The sequence below is a fragment of the Homo sapiens genome, chromosome 8 (assembly GCF_000001405.40).
Source record: "Homo sapiens chromosome 8, GRCh38.p14 Primary Assembly".
In the NCBI taxonomy this organism is placed as follows: Eukaryota; Metazoa; Chordata; class Mammalia; order Primates; family Hominidae; genus Homo; species Homo sapiens.
The window spans coordinates 88183082-88195155 of NC_000008.11; the positions used below are offsets into that span (position 1 = coordinate 88183082).

Consider the following 12074-nt stretch of genomic DNA (forward strand, 5'->3'; position numbering starts at 1 on the left):
AAACACTGAATTTTTAGGGAAGGAAAACTATTCTGTATGATATTGTATTGGTAGATAAATGACATTATACACTTATCAAAATCTATAGAACCGTACAACACAGTGTAAACTATCAACTTAAGTGGTAATAATGTACTAGTACTGGCTCATCAATTTTAACTAATCTACTATGCTAATGCAAGATGTTAATAATAGGAGAAACCATTTGTATTGGTGGAGTATATAAGGGATAGAGGAGAGGGTATGCAGTAACTCTGTGAACTCTCTGTACTATCCGCTTAATTTTTCTGTAAATAAAAAATTGTTCTGAAAATAAAATCTGTTTTTAGGCTGACTATATTTGTTAATTATTTCTAAACAATCATCAGAATTTCTTCTGGGTTTACCCTATAGAAATTTATATAATCTGAGACTAATGATAGTTTGTTTCTTTTCAAATCTTACATCTTTTACTTCCTTTTCTTTCTTTACCTCTATTAGTAGCTGTGCAATGTTGCTGAATAGAGGAGAGGTAGCAGATACTGCTGTTGCCTCTTAAAGATTTTACCAACCTTTTATATGTGAACTATATAACGAAAGTGTAGTATTTATTTTCATAGATGCCATTTTTCTGTTTAACAAAATGTCCTTCTTTTTTTTTTTTTTTTTTTTGAGATGGAGTTTCACTCTTGTCATCCAGGCTGGAGTGCAATGGCGCGATCTCGGCTCACTGCAACCTCCACCTCCCGGGTTCAAGTTATTCTCCTGCCTCAGCCTCTCGAGTAGCTGGGATTACAGTCATGCGCCACAACTCCGAGCTAATTTTTATTTATTTATTTAGTATTTATTTATTTTTTTTTATTTTAGTATAGACAGGGTTTCTCCATGTTGGCCAGGCTGGTCTCAAACTCCGGAGCTCAAGTGATCCGCCCACCTCAGCCTCCCAGAGAGCTGGGATTACAGGCGCAAGCCACCGCGCCCGGCCCAAAATGTAGTTCTTTGCTTTGATTCCTACTTACCAAAAATGGATGGTAAATTTCCTTGGCTACTTTTCTGTATCTATTAAGGTAATAGTATGCAGTTTATTATTTAATACTCTATATTACTGCTAAGACAGAAGTTCAACATCTCTCTACTTGACCTACATGCTCACATGCCTACTAAATTTCCTAATTTTCCTCTACTTTTGGTTTTTAGGTTTCTTTCTTTTGTTTCAGCTCAACAATGCTTTTAAGATATATTTTAGTTTTAAAAATCTAACATATCTCATCCAAGGTTTGCCCTAATCGGCAGTATATTTTAGGCTTTCTATTCTGCCATGTGACCAGAAAAATAATCTATCATTCTTCATCAAAATCTACAAATGCTTTTCAAGGTGTATCCATGAGCTGGGTGTGGTGGCTCACTCCTGTAATCTCTGTGCTTTGGAAAGCCAAGGCAGGAGGATCACTTGAGCCCAGGAGTTCAAGACCAGCCTGGGCAAATGGTAAAACTCTCTCTCTGAAAAAAAAAAAAAAAAAAAAAAAAAAAGCAAAAATTAGCTGGGCATGGTCGTGCACACCTATAATCCCAGCTACTCAACGGGCTAAGGCAGGAGGATCCCTTGAGCCTGGGAGGCAGAGTTTGTAGTGAGCCAAGATCGCACCACTGCACTCAGGCCTGAGCGACAGAGTGAGGCCCTGTCTCAAAAAAAAAAAAAAAAAAAAAAAAAAAAAAAAGAAAAGAAAAAAGAATCCATGTTTTCCTCTCAGAAAACACTGTCACCACTAATTTCACTTATAGAAAAAGGGTCACCAGACAAGAGACATAAATATTACAGTTATTGGGAAAATAACTGTATGTTCCATATGAACTTATTGGTATAATACTTTCTTAACTCTGTTTTGGAAATATAGATTGTAGAGATGATAAAAAAATATGTGAAGTAAAAATATCTTGTGAGCAAATTTAAATGATGGTGAATACCAACTTCATGGGCTTGGCCTAAAGCTGCTTCATCTTTGATTTTTCTTATCTGCAGAAATAATTAAAGTAAGTAGCATAAGACAATAATCTAGGATCATGCTGTGTGAGAAGACAGCATAAAAATATACAAGAAGACAGAAAAGTGTTCCCAGGCCAGGCATGGTAGGTCATGCCTGTAATCCTAGCACTTTGGGAGGCTGAAGAGGGCAGATCACTTGAGGTCAGGACTTCAAGACCAGCCTGGCTAACACGGGGAAATCCTGTGTCTACAAAAAATACAAAAGTTAGCTGGGCATGGTGGTGCATGCCTGTAATCTCAGCTACTTGGGAGGCTAAGGCAGGAGAATTGCTTGATTCTGGGAAGTGGAAGTTGCAGTGAGCTGAGATCGTGCCACTGCACTCCAACCTGGGTGATGGAAAGAAAAAAAAACGTCGCCAAAATAACCAAAATAAGTTCAAGTGACATGTTCCAGTTATATAAGTAGAAAACCAATATATTGAGGCTTTCATTTTATCTTTAATCATACACAAAGGGTTATTTACATGAAGAATAAGAATTATAAAATTATCATTTCTATTCACATAATCTGACAGATGATTCCTGACATTCTACCCTCTCACCAAAGTATCTTTCCTCTTCTCCTGCCCATTGGTTTAACAAGTTCTTTCCTTCCTATGGGTCTTAGTTGAAAAGCTATTTTAGGGCGATCTCATCTGGTTTTCTAGAATGGGTTGGATGACCCTGGTTTACATTTCTCTTGCATCCTGTCCTTTCTTTTTATAACAAGCATTGTATTTATATGACTGTTCAACTTTTTGTGACTGTAAATTCCATGAGGACAAACAGGGTCCTCATGTTTTATTTGTTGCTACATCTCCAGGCCTTGGCATTGTTCTTTGTTCATACTGGGACTCAGTAAGCAGTTGTTCAATTACAAAATAAATAAATGTGAAAATCCATTAATAACAATTGTCACTCTAGGTTGGAAAATACTTTCTGTTACTGAAGACAAAACCACTTGCATAATTAAGAAAAAGATAAAAATCAAAATGGTTAGACTGATATTAAACACTGATTAATGAATTCAACAACATTCTGTTTAAATAGCAGTTATTTATATATTTTATTATTTGATTATTTTAGAGATTATAAATATTTGTCAAAGCATGTAATATGTTAGAACATTCATCTTAAAGTCCCTCATAATATTGACATTTATTCAAGAAGCTGGAATAGTTTACAAAAGAGCCCAAGTGTCTCAGAGTGTCTACATAGGGTGTCTAATGAACAATTTACTCTCCTCTCAATAGCAATTTTAAATCTCTTATGTTAACATTATATCCCTATATATTAACATGTAGTCAACGTGCAGAAGATACTAAACTATGTGTCAAAACAAATAGTAATGAAATATGGGGAAAAGGGGAGATTAATCGTGAGTTCTTATACCTGTAAGTGATGTGCTTGTGCTGCCATTTCTGTCCTGTCAATGCATATCGCTTTCGACGAATATGAAATTTGGAGCTACCTCTTGTCTGGTCAGGTACACCGCATCGGGGCTTCTTCATCCAGCTGCAAAAAAAAAAAAAAAAAAAAAAAAGCAGTATTTTCCAGTTATTTACTAACAACCCTAATCATTAAATTCAAAAGAAAATCAATTAAGAGGTTAATCTGAGACAGTGATGATGAAAATGGCAAAATATAAAGTAAAGGGAACACTGTGAATTTTCTTGCACTTTGAATCTAAGTAGATAGCATAGTTTTTCCTGAATTATCAAGAATCACTAGTTTACTATTCAGATCCTTTAGATAATTTTCTTCTCTCTAATTTATTTTGGGCTAACTATAGACAGAGGTAGTCTAAAGCTTCTAAGAATTTGCTGTTAACAAGGTATATAATCTTGGGCAAGTCTTTAATTCCTAGTGCTACTCATAAAATGCCACTAAGGAGTTATTCCACCTTTAACATTCAAAGATTATTCTAATCTATTACCTGAGTTTAAATGCCAGGATTCAAGAGGGTATATGCTACTCTGTTCTAATTTACATAGCAGTCAACTGTTTGTTCAAATAAAATATTCATTTCTCTACCTTTTCTTCTTTACATTTGATCATTATTTCATTTCCAAGTAGCAGCCACTTGCTTTGAATATTTGATAAATAACCAAATTCAATGCTTAAAAAATATTTTTCTGAATATGAGGTTTTGCACTCACAAGACTAAGGTTTGATGTACTTAAATTTGAAAAGGAAATGCTGCTTTTAATTTATTAATCTTAACACATATACAGATAAAATAGTCTAATTTCTCTTCTAGAGAGTCTCATTGGACCACTGTCACATTTTCTATCTATTCTTGCATCTTATCTAAGTAGAAAGATTTTCATGATTTGGGGGTAGTTTTTCTTTAGTGCGTTATAAAGTGACTTTGCTGTTTATTAGCCCCTTTATTTTAATAATTACAAAGGTAAGGCAGAAAATTCATAGTACTACATGGTTCAGAAAGTAGAAATGAAAAACAATCAATTTTTGGAGTATTTGCTTTACAATTTCTACACTTTTTAAATGGAAAAGGAGTGATCATAGAGATGACTCTCTAAGTCATTTACACATTAAGTAATTTGCATGTGAAGTAATTTACATGTTATGCAACAAAATCCAATAATGTGCTTTTACAAACATAATAACTTCCTGCATCAGTGAAATAATAACTTTTACTTCTTAAGAAAGATGACACTTTTCCAGAAAACATTAAAAGATTCTGCTTTCTTATTCTGACCCCAGTAATGTAGACCATGCAGTTACCAGATTTAACAAATTCCATCCTAGTTTAAATGCATTGTAGAGTTACTTCAGAAAATAATTCTTCCCCTTTATTAAAGTCCACGAATTAAAAAATACATCTTGTAAACGCTAAATTCTAAGAGGGTATCCAGCTTTATGGAATTGAGCTCTCAGGAGGTGAGATCAGAGGCCTCTCATTTTTAACTAACACTCCCAGGGGAGTCCTAAACACACTGAATTTGAGAGATATTTCACTATACTGTAAAACACTCAAGAGAAGGGGTTTTGGTATTCTCTGTATCTTGCACAACTGGAATAGGAGAATTAACAAATAAATATTACTGGACTAGATGGATATGGTTATTTTTATTGCATAGTTTAAGATCTAGATATTGATTTAATTAACAATTGTATTAATGGTGTGCCTACGATGATTTAAGTTGCTTTTATATATGGGTATTAATTATAGTCTCAAAAAATTATAATATTCCTAAGGTAGGTACTTATCTTTACTTATCTCATTGAAAGTACTGGGAGAACAAACAATACGTAATTATGAAATCTGAATATATTTACTTAACGTGGGATATGGTTACATTCACATTTAGCTAAGGAAAACATTTAAGTAAGCAATCTGTGAAAAAAACCTGAAATGGATAGTTGGGTAAAATTTGAAACAACAGAATTAACTATTATCAGAATAAAATGTATTTTCAATGAGGGTATAGTCTCTAAAATTACTTTAGTATGTATAAAATTGAAAAATGAAGGCAGTAATGTCATGCTTTTGTTGGAGCCAGTAAAAGATTTCTTTGTCAAGTGTGTACATCTTCCAAAGAACAGATTTTTTTTTTTTTTTTTGAGTCCGAGTTTTGATCTTGTCGCCCAGGCTGGAGTGCAATGGCACGATCTCGGCTTAACCACAACCTCCACCTCCCGGGTTCAAGCAATTCTCCTGCCTCAGCCTCCTGAGTAGCTGGGATTACAGGCATGCGCCACCACACCTGGCTAATTTTGTATTTTTAGTAGAGACAGGGTTTCTTCGTGTTGGTCAGGCTGGTCTCAAACTCCCGAGCTCAGGTGATCTGCTTGCCTCGGCCTCCCAAAGTGCTGGGATTACAGGCATGAGCCACCGTGCCCGGCCCAAAGAACAGATATTTTAGGGAGGAATATTAGATTCCTGTGCTAAAAGACATTTCTGCTGAATCCCTTATATAAGTCTTGGGCTTTTGCCCACTTCATATAGTTGTTTGCTTGTGTTCTAACTATTTGTTCATTTACCCATCTCATCCTGATTTATTCATCATATAGTATTTTTGAGCTTTTACAACATGCTAAGATATATAAAAGAAAGTATGGATTAGAAGATGAAGAAAAAAAGAGCCCCTTCCTTACTGAGCTCATAGCACACAGGTAAGACATGTATCATTTAAAAAGTACAATATAATGGGGTAAGTGCTGTCACACCTCCATCTAGATATCCTGTCATCAGCTCTAATGTTATATGTAATACAAAGAAAATCATGATATTCCTACCCCAAACTTGCACCAATTTATCTGATGCCTCATCTCAGCTGAAAGCCTTAGCATCTTCTAATGCCCACACTAGATATCCAGGTATAACCCTCCACTACTCTTTCCTCACATCCAGTCAATCACAGTCTAGTCTCTTCTACCCTCAAAATGTCTCTTGTATCTCTCACTCTCAACACTTCCTTCATTTTCACTACTAACAATACTAACAATACATTTTCCCAAAGCAAAAGTGTGTTCTCTGCATGTTCTGAGCATGAAATGCCTTTGTAGAAAGAATCTGATTTATGTCTACCTAGTGAGGGTGTCCCCTGTCCTCCTTCTCAAAATCCAATTGAGTTCCTACAGAACCAAACCTCTTCCTGCCCTTATATGCAATGACCTCTGTCTGGAATACTTTTCACTCCTTGTTCACCCTGAGAATCCTAATTATTCTTTAATATTCAACTCACATAGATACAGTTTACCACCCCAATGCAGCATGTCTTATAATGTGTATCCTGATTTGTATGTGTCTGTCTCTATCTACCACTGACCTGTGAGTGAGGGTAGAGAGCCAAGCATGAGGTCAGTGCCTAGTGAAGTCGCCAATAAGGAACATGAAGCAAATGAACTAAGTCTATATGTCATTTTGCATATACTGATCATTTCGACAATCCTATATATTTCTTGAGGACTTCATAACTTTTTCCAGCTCTGTGCTTTGAACAAATGATTATTGCAGAGACATTACGTGGATACTTATATAAAACAAAATCATGAAGTAGATAATTTACACATAAGAAATAAGCATAACATATATAATATAATATCAACTAATGATTTAATGAAAAGAACTCTGAATGAAGATTGGTAAAGTTGAGAATACTCTATGTTAACTTCACCAATATTTGTATCTAAACATTCTGGCACAGAGATATTAGTGGGTATTATCTTCTCAAAGTAGGTAAAATACCATAAATATGATCAAAGCACATCACACTACTGAACATGACACAGAATCCGAGCTAAATTGGTCTTCAGGCTTTTGTATGTGACTTTAAACATTTGATTTCATAAGCAGGCAGGTTCTTTCTTATGGAAATTTTAAAGTTCCCAATGGATATAAAGAATGCTCAGTGTTTAACAGGACTCATCAATGCATGAAATGTTGTCTAACATTAAATACAAAACTGGCATGCTAATGTTTTTATTCAGTTAGAGTCTGGCAGTCAGGTTCATTTCCAGTTGCCCAAATAGATAATATAAATTTGTTAGGCACCAAAATGTTAGTAGCATTCAAATATCAATTTGATAAATCCCATATATACCTGTTCACACAAAAAACAGGAATATATAACTATATCTATATCCACATACAAAGTTAACATATAAGTGTATTTTATACATATATATATATAGCTTATTACCAACTGGCAACTTGGTAAAATCTAGTCACCACCTTTTTTTTAAAGCTTTCAATAATGTTATTTTCAGGCAGTACTTTTTTTGCGACAGTGTCATTGCTTAAACATAGTTACTTTTTCAGTGTGTCAACACACAACTCATATAACTGTGCTTTTTATTTTTCTTGACTGACTCATTTGTGAGAAATTTTAAGTTGACATCCCAAAGCAAACAAAGACATGGGGAAGGGGCACTGCAACTTTGTAATTATCAAGGTGTAAATAATGGCATGGCTTCAATTTTCATAAACGTAATACTGATTTTTAATACTGATTTAATTTTTGGGAATTTTAGATAATTTTAAAATTAGGTGGGCAGATCATTAATGTCCTTATTTAAGTTAACTCAACTTAAAAAGAAAAAAAATCTAAATCAGTGCTTTTGAGAGGAGTATAAAAATTGAAAGCAGGGATCCTGGTGCCATACTGTAGAGTTACCTCGCTGACTCAATAGTCCTATGACAATAGGTTACCGTTTCTTTTTATACTTCGGTTTCCGCATCTTTAAAGGAGATGATAATATTACCTCTATTATTGGGTTATTGTGAAGAATGAATTAGTTAAATCATTTAAACACTTAAAATAGTGTCTAGCAGACAGTAACTACTATTATTAACTTACAATTCTAATTCTAATAACTATTATTATTTTACAAATATCAGGAAGTAGTTATACTGGTGGTAGTCATGGTAGAAGCAGCAGCAGCGTACAAATATTGATGTGCTTCACCTCCCTTTGACCTGTATATATGTTATTTAAAACAGGGATTTTTTTTGGTACTTTGATAATAGAAATATAAATAAACAACTTCACTGTCCCCTGTTTTATGTAAATAAAGTAGCCAGAAGCTTCTAAACAGTTTGGTGTACCACACACACACAGACACACACACATATATCTGAAAGTGTCCATTAGCTTCAGTAAAATATATTTTTAAAAAGTATTTAATAAGTTGGGCATTCATGCCAAACACATAAGGCCACTCACTGCATGACTCTTAAGAGGTGCCCTTAGGTTACAGTCCTGGTACTGGGTATCCTGTGCTGGTGCTGCAGGAAGGCCGTGCTTCAACAAAATACCAGGGAAACGTCATCCCTTGCAGCTAGAGCTCTGCCACACAGTGGCTCTGTGTAAATACACCTACCTTTACCATGAGAAAAGAAAATGACTGCCAAATACATATGTTGTACTTTATCAACTCATGCTCTAAGACAATATTCACCAGGATAATATGTTAAACAAGTTTCCATTCTCCATACTTTCACAAGTTTTAGTTAAAAGTATGAATAATATTTACTATTTATAGTAGTCCCCAAAAGATCCTTCCAGAAATTTAAAAATATACTTATTTTAATTACTTTAAAAAATCCTTAGGTTTTATTTGTATTCATAGAGTCAAGTCCAGTTGCCATGGGAAGATTTTTAAAAGTAAATTAACTTAGGGCTAAAAATGTTGCGGCTGACAGCTCATTCCAGTCCAGAGTTTCTTTTATCTACAGACTCATTAACTGCCTGTATAGACACACAGGTTATTCACAAGATTGAAATGGCAAAGTTAAAGTACCTAAATACCTGAGCAAGAACAAAACTGTATTAAGCCACTATGATCTTCAGTGTGAACACAATTTCAGTGTTAGCTCTAACCAATTCTTTCAACTTTTTACCTTTCAGAATAGGAATCTAAGGTCCCTGCTCACTAGCTATCAACCTTCCTTCTGCTGCCACCAAAATGTGGGCTGACCCATCCTATAATGTGATAGCGTTTTAATGCCATGGGTATATTCAGAAATAAAAAGAAGAACATCAATTGATTAAGAACATATCTTTTATATCCAAACTGAAAAAGAAGATAGAGAATATTCCCTTGGCAATTTAGACAAAAGAATAAAAATCATAAAACATATTGACAAGCCAAAAATGTTGGGGTTCTTGGTACATCTAAATAAGTATTTCAATTATCAAATTAGGAATCCAAATATCACTATAGTTTCATTGAAATGACTTGAAAAATCTACTTATTCAACCTTAAATAAATTTTAATTAAGTTAAATTTCTGTACAATGAGATATCATCCTACCCCAGTTAAACAAACTTTTATCGAAAAGACAGGCCATAATGAAAGCTGGGGGGCATCTGAAGAAAGAGAAATCCTTATACACTACTGATGGAAATATAAATTAGGATAATCACTATGGAGAAGAGTATGGAGGTTCCTCAAAAAACTAAAAATAGAACTACCATATGATCTAACAATCCCACTGCTGGGCATATATCCAAAGGAAAGGGTATCAGTATATTGAAAAGATATCTACACTCCCTTGTTTATTGCAGGACTATTCACAACAGCTAAGATATGGAATCATCTGAAATGTCTGTCAATGTGTGAATGGATAAAGAAAATATGGTATTTATACACAATGGAATATTATTCAGCCATAAAAAATAAAATCCTGTAATTTGCAGCAACGTGGGATAGAATTGGAAGACATTATGTTAAGTGAAATAGGTCAGGCACAAAAAGACAAATATTGCATTGCATGTTTTCACATATGTGGGAGCTAAAAAACAAAACAAAACAAAACACACAAAAAGAACTTCATGGAGACAGAGACTAGAATTATCTAGAATTATGGTTACTAGAGGCTGGGAAGGATAGGAGGGAGGTGGGGATAAAGAGAAGGGGTGGCTAATGGGTACAAAATGTAGTTAGATACAATGAATAAGAGATAGTAGTAAATAGCACACTAGGGTGACTACAGGTAAAAACAATTTATTGCATATTTAACTAAAAGAGTAAGATTGGAATGATCTTAACACAAATAAATGGCAAATGCTTGAGGTGATAGATACCCCAACTACCCTGATTTGATCACTATGTACTGTATGCCTGTATCAAAACATAACAAGTACCCTATAAATATATAGGACTATTATATATCCATAATAATTAAAAATAATTTAAAAAAGAAATATTTCACCAAGCACACTTGAGTGCATGCCACTGTACACATATAAAAGATAAACTAATATGAAAAAATTACTATTAAAATTATAAAACATATCAGACTCATTTTCTTTATTGCCTTGCTATTTTTTTGTTTCCTTGTAAAATATATATATTTTATGTATAATACAGATTGCTCCATTCATTAAAGAATTTAGGGGAGCTTGCTTCCAAAAATTAGCTATGCATCTATAATTTAAAAGAATCACTGATGAACTCATTCTGTGGGAGGGAATAAGTATTTATTATGATCTCTAATACCATTGTTAATTAATATTAAGGCAATATTATATGACATTTAAGGTAATACCTTAATTTATTGTTTGAAAATGGTTAATTTATTCAACATAATATAGGGATTACTGCAATTGTCATCATTACTTTTAATTACCCAGTAATTACAGATTCAATGCATCCCATGTCTATCTGCCAAAAAAGGATATAATTATTTAATATAAAAACAATTGATCTTGACAAGAGTCTAAAATTAGACAAGAGTTCATAGCATCGAAAATGGTTAAGACATTATATTAATACTGAGGAATAATTTGGATCTATAACTATAGTCCATATTTTATGTAATAAGTGTCAGATAAAAATTCATACCTTATAATTTGACCGTAATATAACAGAGTGTGATTTCAGCATGGATTGTTACCACACATTCAAGATTACAAAAGCACAGATGATAGCTTTAATATCATGATGATGGGGATTATACTTCCAAAAATAGTACACTATTTCAGCTGAGTACCTTGATCAATAACACCTTAAGAGTAGAGATGCGACAGCAGAAAAAAATAGGCAGGAAGCAAATGAAGCCACCGGGTTTCTAGTTCAAGTGACAATGAGAATGAAGTCTCCAAGCAGACACAGGGAGCAGAGGAGGCATGGCAGGCTAGGAAGGGAAGATGAGGAGGAGTTAACAAGGCTTTAGTTGTTTCATCTAGAAATAACTGCCAGGTGTAATACTCTGAAGAGAAAGATGCACTACCAATTCCTAAAAAGACACCAAGAAAAATCCAAACCTGAATTAGAACATGGCTTTGTTCAAATAAAAATAAAAACAATACAGCTCCAAACCAAAACAAACAAGGAAAAAAGTCCCTTTGATTTTAAATTATGGGCTGCCTATATAGTTGATCTTTTCTCTATAATGCCCTATCACAGAAATGCTACTTTAACTCCCACGCACTGACACCATCATTTTTACTGGTCTGGAATCTGAGCCACTCTGTGCCCCCAAAAAGGCCTGTGTCCTTCTCTATTCCTCCACATTTTTTACATCCTCCTGCCAGAGAACAGCAAACTGTTCAGACCCCTTTCCATATGAAGGGCCCAAATAAAACCTGTGCACATTACT

The 12074-nt window shown here is 34.1% G+C and overlaps 1 protein-coding gene across 1 annotated transcript in view; it reads right to left on the reverse strand.

The window, feature by feature from the left end:
- Window positions 1-12074, reverse strand: part of MMP16 (matrix metallopeptidase 16) — a 295473-nt gene that overhangs the window by 151071 nt on the left and 132328 nt on the right. Inside the window, exon 3 of the mRNA NM_005941.5 lies at window positions 3395-3517. Coding sequence (NP_005932.2) covers window positions 3395-3517 — 123 coding nt within the window. The remainder of the gene's footprint in view (window positions 1-3394; window positions 3518-12074) is intronic.